The sequence below is a fragment of the Homo sapiens genome, chromosome 4 (genome assembly GCF_000001405.40).
Source record: "Homo sapiens chromosome 4, GRCh38.p14 Primary Assembly".
Taxonomy (NCBI): domain Eukaryota; kingdom Metazoa; phylum Chordata; class Mammalia; order Primates; family Hominidae; genus Homo; species Homo sapiens.
In genome coordinates, this window is record NC_000004.12 from 42,736,160 (window position 1) to 42,759,695 (window position 23,536).

A 23,536-nucleotide genomic window follows, 5' to 3' on the forward strand; every position below is an offset into this window, starting at 1 on the left:
TCCAAAGAAACCAATTGAAAGCAACAAGAAAGGAGGAATTAATAACAATAAAAAGTTAATAAAATAAAGAACAAAAAACATAAAAACTTCAACAAAACTAAAAATATCTAGTTTTTTCCCCCAAGATGATGGATTAGAAGCATTTAGCATGCCTCAGCCACTTGGAAATAGCAAGATAGTGCATAAAAGATCAACTCTGTGAGCTTTCATTTCATAGGGAAAATGGAAGTCCCTTGGAATCATGAAGGACACTCCAGATTCCAAGGAGAACATGGGCAAACAGGCCCTGTGACAACGTCTGGCTGACAAAAGTGAATGAAACTCCAGTACATGAGAGAGGCACAGAGACTCCCTCTGTGACTCATCTTTCCACTGGGGATCAAATTAACCTAGGCCAGAGGACAGCACTGTTTCTCCCAAGCTCTGGAGCTAACTTGGCGAGAGGCTGGAAGACATTGAGAGGGAAAGACACTGGTAAAAGGTGCAGAGATTTTCCCAGACATGGAGTGAGGCAGGACACCATTTTTATTCAGGGCACATACAGAGTGAGTCATTGTTTGGTGACCCGGCAGTGTGACCATGCAGGCATTTTAGTCTCAGGCCAGAGATTGGAGCGCTTGCTCTGAAGCAGGGTAGGGGCTTCCACAGCCAGAACTGTGTAAAGTACCTCAGCAGTAGGTGCTGAATTTGTTGTTCTCCCTGTCTCAGGTGTGGGTCAGGAGGACAGCTGCTATAGCTATGGTATCTCTTGGGTGATGACACTTGTAGCTAAGGCCAGCTTGGCAACCTGGAACGGGTCGACATGTGTCATTGTTGCATGCCCCAGCCTGCTCCTCTGAGCTCACTGTGCAGCAGGGCCCCCTCTACTTCATCCCCAAGCAGAACTCCAGATAGAGCACTCACTTGCCTGGGCCAGCAGCCTGAGCAACCCCACCCTTCCTGTGCAGAGATCCCAGTGCACTGGATTTTCCTTTGGCACTGGTGTTTATGCCTACCATCAGGGGACCTGTAGGTAGGCCTGCCTGATCTATTCCTGCCCATGTTGCTCCCCACCCTCATGGGGCTAAGCAGGGAATTCAGGCCACTGTGCATGCCACAGATCACACTATTGCCTGAGGCGACAGAGAGCTTCTCCAAATAAACAAGAATCAAGTATGTACTCAGCATTGGCTGCAGTTGGCTTTTACCCGTAAGTGACATCTATCTATTGGATTACAGGTCAAACTACTCAGCCCAACAAAAAACCTACTGACAGAATTGCATGGGGCTATAGAAGCAAAGCCCCAAAACCCTACCCAGCCTTCTCTAAAGTCACATCTCCTAGGGAGTGGGGGAAAGAAAAGAAAAAAACCTGCAATAATATTATAGGGGAAAAAAGAAAAAAAATCCTACCTGCATAAAAATAATTACAAAAATCAGAAGTACAAGTGTCTTTGGAAGAGAAGGAACCAGAACAAGAATTTGGGGACTATGAAAAATCTGAATGTAGTGACACCACCAAAGGATCACATTAGTCTCTAGAAATAGTTCCTAACGAAAATGGAAACTCAGAAATGACATAGAAAGAATTTAAAGCATAGATGGCAAGGAAACTCAACAAGATCTAAGACAGAGTTGAAAATTAACACAAAGAAGCTTCTAAAGAAATCCAGGAAATGAAGGAATAGATAAACATCTTAAAAAGAAATAAATTAGAGCTTATGGAATTGAAAACCTCACTTAAGGAATTTCAAAATACAATGGAAAGCTGTATCATAGACTAAATTGAGCAGAAGAAAGAATTTCGGAGCTTGAAAACTTGTCTTTCAAACTAACACAGTCGGACAAAAATAAAGAAAAAAGAATTTAAGAAATAAGGCCTTTGAGAAATATGGGATTATGTAAAATGACCAAACTATGAATTATTTGGATTCCCAAGAGAGAAGGAATGGAAAACTTTTAAGGGAATAATTCAAATCAATTTCCCTAATATTTTTAGGGAGGTAGGCATGTAGATACAAGAAATCCAGAAAATACTTGTGAGATACCATGCAAAATTAACATCACCAAAGCATACTGTCACTAGATTGTCTAAAGTCAATGCTTAAAAAAAAAATCAGGAGAGATTGGGGGCCTATTTTCTGCATTCTTAAAGAAAAGAAATTCCAACCAAGAATTTCATATCCTGCCACACTAAGCTTCGTAAGTAAAGGATAAATAAAATATTTTCCAGATGAGCAGCATTAAGGTAATTTGTTACCACTAGACTAGCCTTATAAGAGATTCTTAAGGGTGTTCTAAATATGGAATCAAAAGAACAATACCTGCTACCACAAAAATGATTTAAGTACATAGCACACAGTAGACTCTATAAAGCAACCACACATTAGAAACTACAAAGCAACCAGCTAACAATTTCACAAAAGGATGAAAACCTTACATATTAATACTAACTTTGAATGTAAACAGTCTAATTGCCTCATTTAAAAGACACGGAGTAGCAAGTTGGATTAAGACACAGGACCCATCTGTCTGCTGTCTTCAAGAGACTTATCTCACACGTAATGACACCCAAAGGCCCAAAGTAAAGGGTTGGAGAAAGATCTATCATGGAAATGGAAAACAAAATAGAGTAGAGGTCACTATTCTTATATAAGATAAAACAGACACTAAATCAACAACAGTAAAAAAGGACAAAGAGAAGCATTACGTAATAACTAAGGGTTCAGTTCAACCAAAAGACTTAACTATCCTAAATATATACACACCCAACATTGGAGTATGCAGATTCACGAAACAAGTACTTTTAGACCTTCAAAAAGACTTAGCCACTCAATAGTATTGGGGGACTTCAACACCCCGCTGATGGCATTAGATAGATCGCTGAGGTAGAAAACTAACAAAGGAATTCTAGACTTAAATTCAAGCCTTGACCAATTGGACCTAATAGACAGCTACAGGATACTCCACCCATCAACCACAGAATATACATTCTTCTCATCTATACACAGAACATACTCCAACATTGACCACATGCTTGGCCATAAAGCAAGTTTCAGTAAATTCAAAAAAATCAATATCTTACCAACCATACTCTCAGACTACAGTGGAATAAAGATAGATATCAATACCAAGAAGTTCTCTTAAAACCACACAGAATAATAAAAAAAATGAAAATGAGAAAAAACAAAACAAAACAAAACACATGGAAATTACCAACTTGCTACTGAATGACTTTTGGGTAAACAATAAAATTAAGGCAGAATCAAAAAATTCCTTGAAATAAATGAAAACAGAGACACAAAGTGCCAAAATCTCTGGGATGCAGCAAAAGCAGTGTTAAGAGTAAGTTTATGGCACTGAACACCTACCTAAAAAAGTTAGAAAGATCTCAAATTAATGATCTGATATCACATGTAGAGGAACAAAAACAAACAAACAAACAAACAAACAAAAAACCACGAACAAAGTAAGCTGAAGCTAGCAGAAAAAAGAAATAACTAAAATCCGAACAGAACTGGACAAAATTGAGACCTGAATATTTATACCAGAAACCAACAAAACCAAAGGATTGATAAGATCGATAGACTGCTAGCTAGATTAACAAAGAAAGAGGATCCAAATAAGCCCAATTAGAAATGCAAAGGTGATACTGCAACCAATCCCACAGAAATACAAAAATTCTCAGAGTCTCTTATGAACACTTCTCTGCACATAAACTAGAAAGTATAGAAGACATGGATAAATTCCTGGAAACACACAATGTCCCAAGATTGAATCAGGAAGAAATTGAAGGACTGAACAGATCAACATTGAGTTCTGAAATTGAATCAGTAATAGAAAACCTACCAACCATAAAAAGCCCCAGACCAGAGGGATTTACAGCCAAATTCTACCAACATATAAGAAAGATCTAGTACCAATTCTTCTGAAACTTTACCAAAAACTGAGAAGGGACACCTCTCTAATTTACTGTATGAAGCCAGCATCACCCTGATACCAAAATCTGTCAAATATACAATGAAAAAAGGAAAATGCAGGCCAATATCCCTGATGAATATTGATGCAAAAATCCTCAACAAAATATGAGCAAATTGAATCTAGAAGCATATCAAAAAGTTAATTCACCATGAACAAGTAGGCTTCATTCCTGGAATGCAAGCTTGGTTCAACATATGCAAATCAATAAAATTGTTTTGCCACCTAAACAGAATTAAAGATAAAAATCACATGATTATCTCAGTAGACAAGACAAAACTTTTGATAAAATCCAACGTCCCTTTATGATAAAACCCTCAGCAAACTAGGCATTGAAGGAACATACCTCAAAATAATAAGAGTCATCTATGACAAACCCACAGCCAATATTATACTGAACAGGCAAAAACTGTTCAGTATAATATTGAACTTGTTCCCTTCCCCTTGAGAATTGGAACAAGGATGCCCACTTTTACTCAATGTCATACTAGAAGTCCTAGCCATAGCAATCAGGCAAGAGAAAGAAATAAAATGCATCTAAATAGAAAAAGAAGAAGTCAAACTACCTCTCTTCACAGACAATATGATTCTACATCTAGAAAACCCTGAAGACTCCACCAGGAGGCTCCTGGAATTGATAAATGACTTCAATCCGGGATACAAAATCAATGTCCAAAAATAAGTAGCATTGCCATGCACAAATAACATTCAATCTGAGAGCCAAATAAGGGATGCAATACGATTTATAATAGACACACACACATACACACACCACACAATACCAGGTAATATATCTAATCAAGGAGGTGAAAGATCTCTACAAGGATAACTATAAAACACTGCTGAAAGAAATAATAGGTGACACAAACAAATGGAAAAACTTTCCAATATCATGGATTGGAGGAATAAATAACAGTAAAATGGCCATACTGCCCGAAGCAATTTACAGATTCAGTATGGTTCCTGTCAAACTACTAACATAATATTTTACAAAATTAGAAAAAAAACTATTCTAAAATTAATATGAAACCCAAAAAAACAAAAACAGCCCAAAGAACCAAAGCAATCCTAAGCAAAAAGAACAAAGCTGGAGACATCACACCCTCTGACTTCAAACCATACTGTAAGGCTACAGTAACCAAAACAGCTTGATACGGGTGCAAAATCAGACACATAGACCAATGGAACATATTGGCAAACCCAGAAATCAACCCACCTACAGCCATCTGATCTTTGACAAAGTTGACAAAAATAAGCAGTGGTGAAAGAACTCCCTATTTAATAAATAGTGCTGGAATAACTGTCTTGCCATATGCAGAAGAATGAAACTGGACTCCTACATTTTACTATATAAATACAAAAATTCACTCAAAATGGATTAAAGATTCAAATGCAAGATCTCAAACTATAAGGATCCTTGTGGCGAACCTAGGAAACACCATTTTGGACATCAGCTTTGGGAAAGAATTTATGACTAAGTCCTCAAAAGCAATTGGAGCAAAACAAAAAATTGACAAGTGACCTAATTAGACTAAATAGCTTCTGCAAAGCAAAATAAACTATCAACAGAATAAACAGATAATCGACAGAATGAGAGAAAATATTTGCAAGCTATGTATACAACAAAGGTCTAATATCCAGAATCTACAAGAAACTTAAACAAATCAACAAGAAAAAACAACCCTATTAAAGGTAGGCAAAGGACATGAACAGACACTCCTCAAAGAAGATATATGTGTGCAACAAGCATGAAAAAATGCTCAACCTCATTAATCATCAGATAAATGCAAATCAAAACCACAATGAGTTATCATAATTACCAGAGTGGCCATTATTAAAAAGTCAAAAAATGACAGATGCTGGGAAGATTGCAGAGAAAGGGGAGAACTTATACACTGCTGGTGGAAATGTAAATTAATTCAGCCATTGTGAAAAGCAGTTTGGTGACTTCTTGGAGAACTTAAAGCTGAATTACCATTCAACTCAGCAATTCCATTATTGGGTATACATCCAAAGGAATATAAATCATTCTATGATAAAGACATGCATACATATGTTCATTGCAGCACTATTCACAATAACAAAGACATAAAATCAACCTAGATGTCCATCAATGGTGGATGGGATAAAGAAAACGTGGTACATATGTACTGTGGAATACTACACAGCCGTAAAAAAGAATAAAATCATGTTCTTTGCAGCATCATGGATGGAGCTGGAGGCCATTATTCTAAGAGAATTAATGCAGGAACAGAAAACCAAATACCACATGTTCTCACTTGTAAGTGAGAGCTAAACACTGAGTACTCATGGACATAAAGATGAGAATGACAGACACTAGGAACTACTGGTGGGGGAAGGAGGAAGGCACAAGGGTTGAAAAATTAACTATTGGGTACTCTGCTTGCTACGTGGATGATGTGATCAATTAAATCCCAAAGCTTAGCGTCCCACAATATGCCCATGTGACAAACCTGTGCTTGTACCCTATTAATCTTAAATACAAGTCAAAATTGTTTTAAAAAAGTCTGCAGCAAGCCTGAGCAAGGAAAAAGAAAAATAATAGAAAAATAAACACACAATGTAAAAGAAAAATAACTACAGATATAACATATTTTAAATAAAAACATTATTATGGGCAACTATATAAGAATATAGTTGATAACACGTAAGAAGACATAACATATTTGGAAAAATATAACCTGCTCAAAGTAGAAAATTTGAACAGGCCAATAAACAGTAGTGCTGACAAAATGATTGCAAAAGACCTTTCTGCCACCAAAACTTTAAACCCCTTAGTCTGTTTCACAGAAAATTTTTGGAGAAAAATTAATCTTACAATTTTTTTTTTAGAAAAGTAGAGGAGCTACTGGCTTATTTAATGAGATTAGTGCAATCTTGATTCTAATATCAGATAAAGGCAATAAAATAAAATTATAAGCCAATTTCACCTGTGAATGTACATTTCAATATTCTAAATAAAATATTAGCTAATCAAAAATTTGGTCATTAAGTAATAATTCATTATTCAAATCAAGTTTATCCCAGGAAGTATTAAAGTCTCAACACAGAGAAAATATAGCAACAGCATTCACTATATTAATAGGAAAAAAATATGATTATTTCAATTGATGCAGCAAAAGCATTCGATAAACTTAAACATTTAGTTGTTAAATGAATTAAATAATATACATGGAAATATGTTAAAATCTTGAGAGGCTATGCTAATATAATATGTTCTAAGAATCTAGGACAAGTTTAGAATTTATTAATGGCTTAGTTCCTTAATTTAATTTACTATAATTTTATTGAAGTTGATCTTTCATCCCCGGAAGTCCAGTATGAAAAGCAGCATTTTTAAATACAAAATGACTGGGCAGAAAATGGTCATAGGAGAGGATGGGTTTTAGCTGCAGTCCTGCAAATAGCCTGCAGCAGAACCAGGGAAATCAATACAAAGATGACTTTAAGCCAAGCTACAGACCTTTAGTTGCCTGGACAAATTTACTCTTTCATTTCCTGAACAATAAATCCCTATAACCTTTAATGTTTGCTTTAAAAAAAAGTAAAAGTTTTGGAAACAGATCCTGCTATTTTAGTAGGAAAAAGATCCTACTTCCCAGACACACTGTAACACTTTGGTATACACCTTGGCCTATAGCCCAAGTTACACCCTCCAGCATTTAAACAGTTTTCAAATTAGCCAGACGGGTATGAGGAGACAGGTGAATTAATAAGGAGTGGTTTGATTCTGTGATCTGGAGAGAGAGCAATGGTTAGGGATATTAAAGACAAAGCAGTGGTCCACCAGTCTGTAATCCCCAATTAGACTACACCTCTTATCATCACAACATTTACTGTATGACTGGAATAACAGAAAAGATATTTTACATAGGAGACAGAGGAATATCTGACAAGAAACACTCTCATGGTAGACTATATGGGACAATTTACATGGCCCATAAGTATACAGAGAAAGATATATCTTTTGTTATTGTAGGGTATTATATAATCATTACCATGATCCTCTCTCTCATATTTATCTTGCTTTTAGTTTACAACAGTTGTTAGAATCTTCACTCCATCGTTTATCACAGAAACCTCAGATGAAAATAGAAACAAGGTTGCATATATTTTGCCTATCTAGAAGTTCAGTATCAGAGTGTGTGAGTTATTTATCCTTAGTCTCATAGGTATTAAGTGGCAGAACTGGTACTCACAGTGCTTGTGCTGGGATACTGCAGTGGGCATCTGTGGAATTAGTTGTGTCTTCTAATTAGTTGTGTCTGTCACAGTGTCCCTCTCCTCATTCCACAGGATGCTCTGAACTCTGAAGGTGCCATGCTAGTAGCTAATGGGTTCCATCCCTGGAACTTGGGGGCTTGGGGCAAAGAGAGAAATAGTACACTTTCTCCAGAGGGATGAAGCTGTGATGGGAAAACCGTTATAACTCCTGGCATCTAAAATCAAGCAATCAATGGATTGAAGAAGTAAAGAAGCAATCCCAAGAGAAATGGCTGCGAATGAAACGTTTAACAGGAAGCAGAGGCAAGGAATAGAGTAAGCAATTCTATGGCATTTCAGCTCGTGCTTCCTATCACATCTAAGTTTTGGCTGCATTTTTGTTATTCCTACAGGTTAATTGCCCAGTTCTTTCTTCGATTATACTTAACTTAAATTCTTCCAGTAAACTCCCTTTGTGTTTAAGCATTAGATGGAGGAAATTTTTAAAAATGACTTAATATGGCTTTGCATTTTCTGGTTCCAGTAGGCGTTTAAAGATGGAATGTTCTCTAATGAGGTATTCAGACACCACCTCCTATATTTAGAAACTTCTCAACTGTAGTTTTCTTGACGTAAATTATATATTCTCCCCTAGTTCTTTACTTACTCCCTCCTCAGTTACTGGTGTGTGAAACTTATATGGGTCCCCTATGGGTCTTCTATGTAAGTCCCATTGCCTATCCAATGGGTTCTGTTGGATAGAACATAATATGAACCTTCCTAGTCTCTCTGTTTCATGCATGACCCATATCTGATTCACTGGAATCCTTCACATACCCTTTGACCTAATAACCTTTGGGATGGAGGCAGACCTCACAATCCTTGGGCTCATTGATCAACAGCTAACCATCCTGCCTGTAGCTCATTGTATTTGTCAGGTAGTAGTCATATTCCAGTCCATTGTGTTTTTTTATACTGTGTGTTCACATATTAAGTTCACCAAGTAGTCTCACCGAGGCTCCTCTAACTAGTTTTCAGGTAAGAATGGGCACAGCAAATCTCCCCATTAGTGGCAACACATTAGCGGAGCTCTTTCCTGAGGAATCATCTTTAAAAATTCCCTTCCTATTGAAAGAATCAAGCATTTTGCTTATTTTTCCTATTTAAACTATAGCTCAGGGAAGCCAAATAGTTAATGAGGGTAAGTTTTACTCCATAAAAGTATAACAGATAATGAATAAAGGAGAAATAGAACACAATGTCAATTTTGAGTCCTTAATGATATAGTTGATCTAGGAAATGATCATTCATAGTTGTTACCACCATAAAAAGAGAAACCATTAGATATTATATACTTCTTGGTAGAAGTATATACCACCACCTCTGAAGTGTTCTTGTCAAAATTTTATTTTGAATTAGATCAAGCTTCTAGATTTAACTACTAGGTTACAGGAAATACAGGGGATGGAAGAACATGTTAAAAGACACCATGAGGAAGTAGTTATTAAAGTTTAGAGTGTAGAAAACCTGCCAGGACAAATGATCTGATTTTTTAAAAAACCCAAAAATTGCAAAGGGAGAAAAGCAAGCATGAAAAAATCTTGAGAGACTTAGGAAACATAATCAAATGCAACATGTGATTCTTGTTTGGATTCCGATTCAAATTAAAGACTTTAAATAAAATGTGTAAGATGAGAACATTGAAACACTGACTTCTAATTTGAGAATTATTTTTAATATTTACATGTGATAATAAATGAAATCATGGCTATGTTTGAAAAATGCCCTTTATATTTAAAGGTATATAATGACATATTTATGGACAAATTGATACTGATATTTGGGCTGTGTTTCATAATGATGCTGAGGAAGTTGAATCCAAGCAGTTTCCTTCAGAGCCTAATGATGAAATTATTCTGTTGCAGTAAAGAAGAAAATGTATAGAAATAAGGGATTTGTCAGAAAAGAGTGTACTGAGCAGTTTTATTGATTTGTGAGAGCCATGTAGGTGGGTAGTCAGTGATAAGTTAGAAAGTAGTTTAGGGCCAAACCTTGGAGGGCCTTAAAAAATAGGGTGGCTAATATGAACAAAATCATTATTTCAGTATGTAAGGCCCTATAATTTTCTGTACCAAAACTTTGTGATATAATTCAATGATAATTTAAGTGCTAATCAGCATGGTTTGTCAAAATAATAGAAGCTTCCTTTGATGGAAGATGAATTTTGAAAACGATTAGACCTATGGAAAATGAATAATGAATTTTAATAACAGTTTCTTAATAGTGACAGGGATGCTTTTCCGTAATTTTATTTTGGTCACCTGGATTATACACTTTCAGTGTTAAAGCCCTGGAGAACCACAGTTAAAAGATAATGCATTTGCTCTGTACCCTATGTAGAGAAGAGCCCATGTTTTTCCTAGTGTTAGAGCTACTTGGCCTGCAACATAGATGTTATTGTATAAATTGGAATATGATTTGATTTGATCCTGAAAGATTTATTTTAATATCAAGATCAAGAGTCAAATGTTATTTTACCCAGCTTCTCAGGTGAGCCATGTTTAAGCCTCTTACAATTCGTGCATAACCGAAAGGAGATGCAGATTTGTTCTAGACTTGAAAAAGAAGTTAGAAACATGGGTTCTAGAGCAAGCTCATGAGCCTAGTAACTGAGTGACTGCTGAACATGTGAAAGAGTCAGCAGGACTGCCGAGTACTATTACTGGGCTTTATTCGGAAGTAGATGCAATTTATAAATTTTTCGGCCTAGATTTGTATACATATCCACATCTTCTCTGTGACATTTTGAATTTTTGACAATATATTTCTTTTAGAAATTCTCCTCTCTTTTGCCTACATGGCGCAGTTCATTTTCATCTTCTGGGTTGTCAGGAACATCTTCTTAAGTGTCAGTATTTCAAAGAGCTCCATCTTTGATTCTCTTTCTCATGTGATGTATTCTTTTTAGGGTGGCAATGTAACATCACAATTAAAAGTATAGAATTTCAAGTTAGAGAAACCTTGAATATTAGCTCTGTCACTTTCTGCTTTGTAATCTTGGAAAACTTAATATTTCCGGTGATCTTAGAAAATTTAATATTTCTAGTCTCATTTTCTTGTCTGTAAAAATAAGCCACCTTCTTTCACCTCCCAGAATTGCTGGGATGTTGAAATGAGGTATTATATAAAGCCCTTATTATAGTGCTTGGCACATAAAAGATGCTGAATAAACAGTACTAAAGATTATTCATTTTTTTCAACTTCAAACTATGTGCTTACGACTCTATATCTTTAGCTAAATCTTTTCAATTGGGCTCCAAATCTCAATATGCAATAGTCTATTTTAGTGGTTGCCAAATGCCAATTGTGGCTTGCTGTAAGTCAGTGATTGGTATTATACTGGTACAAGAGGAATTGAAAAAAATAAGGACACTTGGTTGATTTTTAAAATAAAGGCAAGTTTATTTAATTTAATAAATTGCCTTTTATATTAAGACTCTTTTTAATTTTTCATATTGAAATATCCTTTTATAAAAATGAAATATTATTAGTGGATGACAGGGTTTTGTTTTGTTTTTATGTATCTTGACTTAGCAAAATAAAAGTTGGCAGTCTTTAATTGATTTCTAAAATTTATATGAATTATGCTGGTATGTGAACCCTGAAAGCTTAGGAACCTCTCATCCATTGGAAAACTTTACTTGAATAAACCACGAGCACCTCAAATTCAACACTGTAAAAAGTGTATTTCTTATTTCCTCCTCCCCCTACACATAAAACCCAACTTCCTTTTTATTGCCTGTCCTAAAGGATGTCATAATCATTCATTCCAGTCAGTTTTCAGAAAATCTGAGTCATCCCCAAAACCCTCTTGGATGGTAGTACCCTTACATTCAATCGATTGCTAAATCCTTCAGTTCTATCTCTTGATATTTCTTGATTCATGCCCATTGCCACTATCATTATAATTTTTTTTTTTTATTGGGATTGTTTTCTTTCTATCTCCAGACTCCTGCTATTCCAATTTGTCTTACCCTAAGCTGCCAGAAACATCTTTTACTTTCCTGCCCGAAATCCTTCAGGGTTCCCCATCACCTTTGGGGCTAAACATTTTAGTGCAGCCCAAATGTCCCTCCCTTCCCATCTACTGCTTCTCCTTCACATGGATCCCTCATGCCTGCTGTAATTAACTACTTGCATCTATATTGTCTTGGGATCTTTACACATTCGGTTTCACCTGCTGGTAAATATCCTTCTCTCCTCATTTAGAAAATTCCAATTAGTTATTCAAGATTCAGTTCACATATTCTTCCATCCCAAGTCTTCCCATACACCCCAATATGAGTCTTGCATCTCTCTTCTTTGTCCTGAACCTCTGTCATAGTAACCAAACACAAGGTGGTGCAATTTTTTAGGTACATAACTAGGTTTCCTTCTCATCTGCGGAAACTGCTGTTGGGAATCACACCTTGCACCTCTGTGTTTCAGTGCTTAATACAATCCTTGATACACTTAGGTGTCCAATAACTCTTAGCTGCATAAATGACTATAAACCTTATATTATAGAGTTAAAGCTTCTATTAGACTACATTTCTGCTCCCAAGGGCCCTGCAGACCAAAATGTTAACCCAAAATGGTAGAAACCCATAGTCATTGTATTTATTTTATAGCCTCCCTATTAGGGAATTGAAGCATATAAAACAGTATTGGTGTATTGGCACATCTTTATATTATTTAATTTCATTATTGAATAAAAGTGTTTGGCTGAGGGTGTGAATAGGGGTTGAGCAGAGGGAATAGGATGCCTACTATTTACCATGGCTACACAACCCTAGACCAGGATTTGTTCGTGAATATTCCCCTTTTCTTTTAGGTGCTAAACCATGTCTCCTATGCTATGCGTAGAAATAACCACACACACACACACACACACACACACACATACACACACACATACACTTATTTAAAAAGATTACCAAGTGAGAGAAGTTGATCCAATAGCCTCTCTTCTTGAGTAAGAGTCCTAAAATCTTAATAATAATCCAGTATTTTCCTGAAGGATGGTCCTTGCTTTGAATTCTACCTCAAGACTCAGAGGGCACCCAAAACAATATCTGCTGCTTATCCACAACTGTGCCTTTCACACTCCATCATGCTGTCCTGTCCAAATGGTGTTTAAGAGAAAGAAACTCCCTTACCCCCTCACAGAGGGTAGTTAAATTTATTGAAAGGCTTTTACTATCTAAGCCTGATCAAAGGCTTATATTTTCTTATATGTAATTGGTGACATCATATATGTTCTTGATGGCATGAAAATACTTTGGCGCTATATTAGTGAGAATGTGTAGATTTGCAGTTAATAAACACCCAACTAAGCTTTTGACATTATGAAGAGTCTGGAGGAAGCAGTAAGTCTAGTTCATCAGCTTAGTAATGTCATCAAGGACCCTATTTCTTTGCGCCTTCCTGTGCCTCAGCATATTTAATTTTTGTCCTCCTTTATTGCATCATGGTGGCAAGATGGTTGTTGATGTTCTAAGCATCACTATGACTCAACATCATCCCAAATAGAAGGGAAGCAAAAGGGAACATTAAATCATGATTGATAAGACTTATCATAATTCAGTCCTTGGGATTGGGCATATTATCAACGCAAACATAATTGAACTTCTGTTAGTCAGAAAGAAGGGAGAGAATAGCTGTTATATTCGTCAGAAAGAAGGGAGAGAATAGCTTTCTGTTAGCCAGAAAGAAGGGAGTGAATAGCTGTTATGTAGGCAATTAACATTGTCTACTACATGTAATTCTTCTCTTTGAACTATGTGAAATATAACAGAGTTACATAAAGGCTCCACCTTGAAGTTTACTTCTGCTATATCTGTACCCAAGCAACCTCACTTCTCCCTTTTCCCCCTTGACTCTCCATATTGTAACCTTTCCTTCTCATGACAACTCTCCGTCCCCACCCAGTGGATCTGAGCAAGTCCTACTATATATTTATTACTACATATTAGGTTGAATGACATGAACTTACCAATGTTAACATATTGTTCTCACAAAAATATCATAATATACCCAATTAGTGTGGGATTAATAGAAAATGAATAACCATGGATAGCAAGTGAATAAAATCTGCTTAAAACTCCAGAGAATGTCTTCAACAATGGAAAAAATCTATCCAATTTACAAATTGAACAAGTGGAAGACATTTGACATCTTCATTTGGAAAAAGGAAAAAGTCATCTGCTAATAACATTTAATCATATTCCTAGAGAGTGTCAATAGTGGGCAAGGAGATATCCATTTTTATTTCTATAATTTCAGTAGGTTTATTCAGTCCTGTCCCACAGAGAGAGAAAATATATTGCCTTATGACTTTTTTTTAATAGCGTGAACTGCTGTTTACCTTATGATTTCTATCTCTCCCAGCTGGGAATACCACAATGGCTATATATTTTTTAAAAAACATGAAGCTCAATGGAGAATAATTAATTTTTCTGCAGCAGAACACTTAAAATTAAAAAAAGATGAGTGGAAAAATCCAGTGCAATGGTGAAAGATAAGTGTCTGAAACACCCAAACATGGAGAAGATCCAGCACTTTGCAGAGAGCTATAGCCAGACTTTGTAACAGGAGAGGAAGTCATCTGGAAAATGGCATTTCTCACACACTGGCTGTAAGTCAATCTCCTGGGTAGGAGTATCAGGTTAAACAACCCTTGCCGGTCTTTCATTTCTATGAATGTAATAAGACTCTGGCAATAGAATCATTCTTTTGTTCAGTGGTTTCCCACCTGCTGCTCACAAACTGCTAAAGTCATCCTCTTCCTCAATGTCTTGCCCACCAAGTTGCACATACTTAGTCTGATATGTCCCTTGGGTGGACGAAATAGATCAATAGTATCAGAAGTCAGCCTGCGATTCAGCCAAATAAAAAAATAAAGCAGAGTGGAAATTATTAAAATGGAGGCCATTTAATAGCTGGACAAAGAGAGCATGAACACTGTTAAGGAGGTTAACGAGTGGGAGGAAAGAAAGAGGACTAGAAATAAATGCACAAATGACAAAACAGAAGTGAAGATTTTCAGAAAATAAAGGCTTAAAAAGCCAACTTTGTTACACACAAAACAATGGCAAAGTAAGATAAAAGCATTATGATAGTTGGGAAAATATAGATTCCAGTTCTGGCTTCACCAACTATTGATGGATTTTTGAACAAGCCACTTAATCTTTACTTTTTAAAACAGTTTTATTGAAATATAACTCACTGTCTGTAACATTCACCAGCTTAAAGTGTACAATTCAGTGCTTTCTGTTATGTTCACAGAATTGAACAAAAATTAACACAATCTAATTTAGTGTGTTTCATCACCCTGAAAAGAAACCGCATACTCATTAGCAGTCATTCATTCCCTAATTCTTTACTCTTCCAACCCCTGGCAGCCACTAAGCTACTTTCTGTTTCTAAAGACTTGTCCATTCTGAATATTTTATGTAAATGGAGCCATGTATTATGTGGACTTTTATGGCTGCTGCTTTCACTTAATATAATTTTTTAAGGTTCATCCATGTTGTAGCATATATTAGTACTTTATTCCTTTTTATTGCCAAATACTATTTCATTACATGGATATATGATATTTTATGTATCCATTTATCAAGCAGTAGGTATCTGGGTTTTTCCCTCTTTTTAGATATTGTGGATAATGCTGCTGTGAGAATTCATGTAAAGGCTTTTTTAAGCCAATTGAATCTTGCTATAACTTCATTTATAAAACAAAACTAGAGTTTATGCTCTATGTTTGTATGTTTGAAGAAATCATTTCAGATGTCTTAGTGATTTATGACATAGGTATAGAAGGATACAATATAGATATGTTTTCAGCTGATATTTCTAATAACACAATTAGCAATAGCATATTTTAATTCTAGCTTTCAGTTGGTAAATAGATAAGAGAGCTCTTTAAATATTGGCTGATTAATAGACCCTTTGATTTTCTTTTGTATTTATTTATCCATCCATTCATCCAATAGTTACCAATGCTTATGAGTGCCAATTCTGTGCTTTTCCCACAAGACACACAATGGTATATAAGAAAGAACTTACACATAAGGAATTCATATTCTGGTAGAGGAGAAAGGACATGTGTACAAATCAGTGAAATACATGGTAGAAAGTGAGAATGACCTTTAATGAGACTCAGATACGGCCTCAGTGAGTTCAGAGATTCTTTGCTCACAACAACATTTCAACAAATTATTTTCCTAGTTTATCTCAACAAATTCTTGTTGGTATTTCAATAAGAATTTGTTGAGATGAATTAAGAAAAGAGAGATTTATTTAGGTATGGAAAATTTAAAGGATCCAAGTAGGAAGTAATTGCTGTTTAAATATGATGTTGTTAAAGATCTTACAGTGGTGCATAATAATTGCCAAAGAGATCTGAAAGTGTTGGTAGCAGCTAGTTACAGAAGCTCAAATCCTGTGCCTTATGGAGCTATATGATTATACTTTGACACACACACAAAAACCACCCTACATTGCTGTCCAGCTTATTTGAATGTACTTTGCACATTGTATTAGGGTTCTCTAGAGAGACAGAACTAAGGGAATATATAAAGGGGAGTTTATTAATATTAAGTCGCATGATCACAAGGTCCCACAATAGGCCATCTGCAGGCTGAGGAGAAGGGAAAACCAGTCTGAGTTACAAAACTGAAGAACGTGGAGTCCAATGTTCAAGGGCAGGAAGCATCCAGCACGGGAGAGAGATGTAGGCTGGGAGGCTAGGCCAGTCTTTCTTTTTACATTTTTCTGCCTGCTTATATTCTAGCCTCGTTGGCAGCTGATTAGATTGTGCCCACCCAGCTTAAGGGTGGGTCTGCCTTTCTCAGCCCACTGACTCAAATGTTAATCTCCATTGGCAATACCCTCACAGATACACCCAGGATCAATAATTTGCATCCTTCAATCCAATCAAGTTGACACTCAGTATTAATCATCACACACACCAACATCTCCTTGGAAATAATTGTGACCTTTCCTTTGCCATCATTCTACCAAATATTCTGGAGGTCAACTAAAAATCCTTATAAGAAAGTAACATGTGAAATTATAAAGCAAAAACAGAAATGAATTTTGTTAACTCATGTATCATAATCCAGTTGCTGTTTTACAAATACTCCCGAGAACTTACTGTCAGGGAATACTGCTGTATATCATATTTCCTTTTCTCAGAACTAACGACAACATTTGATACACTGAGAAGTTTTGCTGATTTGGTTAATTTATTAAAAATAATACAAATACATATACCAAAGATGCAATGTATTGATTGCACATTGACTTGAAATAGCTTGATCATGATATCCTGCAAAACTGATTCATTCCAATCATAACTATTATCTGTTTCTTTTCCTGAGAAACAATATTAAAATGCATTGATTTGTAATCAGAATGCTCTGAGATACCATATCTGTGAATACTGGAATTTATCAAGAGTATCCTTTCAGTATAGTAGCAATCAATCAGTCATGGATCCTTTCTACTTTTAGTAGAAAGATTAGAGACGATGTCATGAAGGAATGGAGACTAGCTGAATCAGGAGGGAGACAGCTTAGCTAAGAGGAAGTTAGAGAGCACTCCCTGTAGAGAAATGACATGAGCAAATGAGCAAATAGTGTGAGGAAGCCTTATATGAGTTACGTGATGCTCCTTATTGTGGGAGACATTGCACGTTTCTGTTTTATAAGTAAATGGAAGCATAGTTAGGAAATCAGAGGTCAATGTTTTAAAAATTTAATTTAAGTTCCAGGATACATGTGCAGAACGTGCAGGTTTGCTACATAGGTAAACGTGTGCTATGGTGATTTGCTGCACCTGTCAACTCATCACCTGGGTATTGATCCCCATATGCATTATCTATTTATCCTGATGCTCTTCCTTCTCCCACACTCCCAACAGCCCTGGTGTGTGTTGTTCCTGTCCCTGTGTCCATGTGTTCTCATTGTTCAGCTTCCACTTACGAGTGAGAACATGTGGCATTTGGTTGTCTGTTCCTGGGTTAGTTTCCTGAGGATGATGGCTTCCAGCTTCATCCACGTCCCTGCAAAGGACAAGATTTCATTCCTTTTTAGGGCTGCATAGTATTCCATGGTGTATATGTACCACATTTTCTCTATCCAGTCTATCACTGATGGGCATATGGGTTGATTCCATGTGTTTAGTATTGTGAATAGTCCTGCAATAAACATATGTATACATGTATCTTTATAATACAATGATTTATATTCCTTTGGGTGTACACCCAGTAATAGGATTGCTGGGTCAAATGGTACTTTTAGTTCTAGATCCTTGAGGAATTGTCACACTGTCTTTCACAATGGTTGAACTTATTTACATTCCCACCAATAGTGTAAAAGTGTTCCTATTTCTCCGCAGCCTCTCCAGCATCTGTTGTTTCTTGACTTCTTAGCAATCACCATTCTGACTGGCATAAGATAGTATCTCATTGTGGCTTTGATTTGCATTTCTCTAATGATCAGTGATGTTTAGCTTTTTTTCATATGTTTGTTGGCTGCATAAATTTCTCCTTTTGAGAAGTGTCTGTTCATGTCCTTTGCCCACGTTTTGATGGTTTTTTTTTTCTTGTAGATTTGTTTAAGTTCCTTGTAAATTCTGGATATTAGAGCTTTGTCAGAAGGGTAGATTGCAAAAATTTTCTCCCATTCTGTAGGTTGCCTGTTCATTCTTATAATAGTTTCTTTGTTGTGCAGAAGCTTTTTAGTGTAATTAGATTGCATTCGTCAATTTTTGCTTTTGTTTTAATTGCTTTTGGTGATATCATCATAACATCTTTGCCCATGCCTATGTCCTGAATGGTATTGCCTAGATTTTCTTCTAGGATTTTTATGGTTTTGGGTTTTGCATTTAAGTCTTTAATCCATCTTGAGTTAATTGTTGTATAAGGTTTATAGAAGGTGTCCAGTTTCAGTTTTCTGCATATGGCTAGCCAGTTTTCCCAGCACCATTTATTAAATAGGGAATGCTTTCCTTATTGTTTGTTTTTGCCAGGTTTGTTGAAGGTCAGATGATTGTAGATGCGTGATCTTACTTCTGAGATCTCTATTCTGTTGCATTGGTCTATGTGTCTGTTTTGGTACCAGTTTCATGCTGCTTTGGTTACTGTAGCCTTGTAGTATAGTTTGAAGCCAGGTAGCATGATGCCTCCAGCTTTGTTATTTTAGCTTAGGATTGTCTTGGCTATATGGGCTTTTTTTTTGTTTCATATGAATTTTAAAGTAGGTTTTTCTAATTCTGTGAAGAATGTCAATGGTAATTTTATGGGAATAGCATTGAATCTATAAATTACTTTGGACAATGTGGCCATTTTCACGATATTGATTCTTCCTATCCACAAGGATGAAAAGTTTTTCCATTTGTTTATGTCCTCTCTTACTTCCTTGAACTGTGGTTTGTAGTTCTTCTTGAAGAGGTCCTTCACATCCCTTGTTAGGTGTATTCCTAGGTATTTTATTCTCTTTGTAGCAATTGTAAATGGAAGTTCATTCATGATTTGGCTCTCTGCTTGTCTATTGTTGGTGTATAGGAATGCTTGTGATTTTTGCACATTGATTTTGTATCCTGAGACTTTGCTGAAGTTGCTTATTAGCTTAAGGAGCTTTTGGGAGAGGTCAATTTTTAAGAAGTGACTTCCTAAATAGACAGGTTTTGTTAAGTATACAGCCACTCTCATTGGGAAGAAACATGGGTAAGTTGGAAAAAGAATACCCATTTTACTGAATAATTCTGGAGAAAAATCAAATGACCTTGAAAATGAGTTCTGCCATAAGTTTGTTGAGATAAGTGTAACTATCCCCACACCTCTGCCAAGAAATCTTACTCTGATTTATCTGGTCAGTTTCTTCTAACACTTTTCTACAGTAACCATTCCAAACTTCTTTTTTTCTCCAAACTCCAACCTGACTAAACTCATGTCTGCCAACTATACACTCATTCTCATAAAATAACTTTAATGATAATAAAGAAAATATAATTCATTAACTAGAAAGCCACTTAATTTCTTCCAACACACAAACGTTCCTTTTTGTTCAATGGGACAGAGTAGAGATCTCAGAAGTAAGACCATATATCTACAGTCATCTGATGTTCAACAAACTGGCAAAAACAATGAATGGGGTATAACTACACCCATTCACCCTTCTCTCTTCCTGTGATAATTGAAAATCATCTCTCCTCTCTAAAGCTTATCTTAGTACCTATCCTCTAAGTCTCTTTTTGGGATGTATATTCTCTATCTGACCCTTGGTGTCCACTTTCCACCATTTTCTCCTGCTCTTGTCCCAGGAGACTGACCTAAATCACCTGTATAAATGCTCCCTTGCCTCTGGCATTTGGTTGGATATGGCCAGTGGAAGTCACCAGCATTTGATCAGAAAATAGGAGAATGGTGAGGCCGGGATATTTATTCCTCTTTTCCAGGCTGCAGGGTTGGCATAGCTGTGTTCCTGTATCAAAGGCCACAGCACTTACACTGGGAAGTTGGCTCCTACAGCTACGTACATTACATACATGTCTCAAAGGCTTTGGTAACCATTTCCTTCTTTTTTTTTCTTTTTTTTTGGACAGAGCCTTGCTCTGTTGCCCAGGCTGGAGTGCAGTGGTCCGTGATCTCGGCTCACAGCAACCTCCACCTCCTGGGTTCAAGTGATTCTCCTGCCTCTGTCCCCCAAGTAGCTGGGATTACAGGTGCGTGCCATCATGCCCAGCCAAGTTTTGTATTTTTAGTAGAGATGGGGTTTCACCATATTGGTCAGGCTGGTCTTGAACTACTGACCTCAAGCAGTCCACCTGTTTTGGCCTCCCAATGTGCTAGAATTACAGGCATGAGCCACCGTGCCCAGCCATGATCCTTCCTTATCAGGCATAGCTGAGGAACCTATTGCTGATACCAGGAGTGCATCACTATCTTCGGTTTCTTTTCCTTATTTTATCCATAATTTTGTCAATGGATCATTCATTAACTCACTTTATTTCCCTGCTTTTTTTTTTTTTGAGTTGCTGCTGCTTGACAAGACCCTGACTATACACTTCCCTCCTACTTCCTTAACAATTATTCTCTGTCAAAAAAATTATTACAAACTTGGAAATAAGGATAAAAGGTGAACAGCATGTTCTTTCATTGTCTTATAGGGAGATTGCTTTATTGGTCTACCCAAGGATTATCCAAGGTGATGTACTTTGTTCACCTCACGCTTTATTATGGATTAGACATGCTTAGTGAAGTTACATGCTAATTTATGTATTTTTGCCCTATAAGGTTACAAATAATTTCTGTCCAAGTTTTCTCTTTCATAAAAAGATAACTCCAAAGCTTCCAGTTTTTTCAGGATATTAATAAATTTCATAATGTAGCAATCTTATCCTCAATTCCTTTATTAAATTTCTTATAATAAATCAGCTATTCAAATCACTGAGTAGGTCTTAACATTTTCTGGGTTACCTTATTAATCAATGAATTAAATGGTGTCTTTAATACATGTTCACTTTATATTTGCATTAGAGTCATGATTTTACCTCTTTGAAAATTCCACTTTAGCACCTCTTTTAATTATCTTTCCTGTCTTATTCCCACAGCTTCCATCTTTCGTTATCTATTGGTTCCTTCTTTTATGAGTTTAAGTGTCCTCAAATCTCTATCATTAGAAAAGCAACCAACCAACCAACAAACAAAAAACCCCAAAGCCTCCTGCATTCCCACCTATACTTTATGCTTCTTGGAAGAGTTGCCTTCATACACATGCTTTGTTCATTTCTTCATTTCATATTTACTTCTCCTTCCACTGACATGATTTCTTCTTCCATGATTCTAATGAAACTGCTCATGTCAAGGCAGTTAAAGACCTCCTTATTCAATTTAATAAACATATTAAGTTCTAAAGCTGTTCAAGTTCATCATTCTATTTGACTATGGTGTCTCTTTTCATTATATATATATTTTTATATTTTTCATTATATATATTTATTTTTCATAGAATCTTGCATTTTTTATTTTCTTTCTTTTTCTTTTTTTGAGACGGAGTCCTGCTCTGTCACCTAGGCTGATGTACAGTAGCGTGATCTCGGCTCACTGACAACATTGCCTTCCGGGTTCAAGTGATTCTGCTGCCTCAGCCTCCTGAGTAGCTGGTATTACAGGAGCATACCACAACACCCGGCTAATTTTTTTTGTATTTTTAGTACAGACGGGATTTCACCATTTTGGCCAGGCTGGTCTCGAACTCCTGACCTCAGGTGATCCACCCACCTTAGCCTCCCAAAGTGTTGGGATTACAGGCGTGAGCCACCACACCCAGTCTCTTTTTCCTTTCTGGTTGAAATTTTAAGGCTTTTGATTGCTTTTAAGAGTGGTTGTGCCTGGCCAGGTGCGGTGGCTCATGCCTGTAATCCCAGCACTTTGGGAGGCCAAGGTGGGTGGATCACGTGAGGTCAGGAGTTCGAGACCAGCCTGATCAACATGGAGAAACCCTGTCTCTACTAAAAATACAAAATTAGCTGGGCATGATGGCACATGTCTGTAATCCCAGCTACTCAGGAGGCTGAGGCAGGAGAATTGCTTGAACCTGGGAGGATTGCACTACATGCCAACATGCCAGCCTGGGTGACAGAGAGGGACTCTGTCAAAAAAAAAAAAAAAGAGTGGTTGTGCCTCAAGATTTTTGCCTTAGCCTTCTTTTCTTTCTTTTTTTCCAGTTTAATCTTTTATTTTCTCCTGCTTGGAGTAAAGTGAGAAAGTGAGAAGGAAAAATAGCCCAGGGATTTTATTAGTTGGAATTCCACAATTTCTTTTAACTTTATATTTTGATATAACTTAGACTTTATGTAAAAGTTGCAGGAATAGAGTTCTTGTATGTATACCCCTCACTCAGTCTCTCCTAATATTAACATCTTCCATCACCATAGCACAATACTTGACACCAGGAAGTTGGCATTGATACAATACTATTAACTATAGACCTTATTCGGGTTCGCTAGTTTTCTCACTAATGTGTCCTCCTCATCTAGAATCTAATCCAGGATTCCACACTGAATTAATTGTCATAAATTCTTAGTCTCCTCCAGTCAGTGATGGTTCCTCAGTCCTTCCTTGTCTTTCAAGATCTTGACACTTTGAAGAGTACTGATCAGTCATTTTGTAGAATGTCCCACAATCTGTACTCATCTGAAGTTTCTAGGATTAGATTGAAGTATGACTTTTTGGAAAAAACACCAGAGAAGTAGTGTATCACATCAGAATTTATATAACATCCATAGATTTTCTAACTAGTAATGTTAA

At 36.5% G+C, this 23,536-nt stretch overlaps 1 annotated feature.

The window, feature by feature from the left end:
- Positions 14,163-14,222: an enhancer, noted in NCBI's record as "active region_21524". NCBI's record gives its function as "activates an Ori minimal core promoter by ATAC-STARR-seq in GM12878 lymphoblastoid cells {active_cell/tissue: GM12878}" and the evidence as "EXISTENCE:reporter gene assay evidence [ECO:0000049][PMID:35858748]".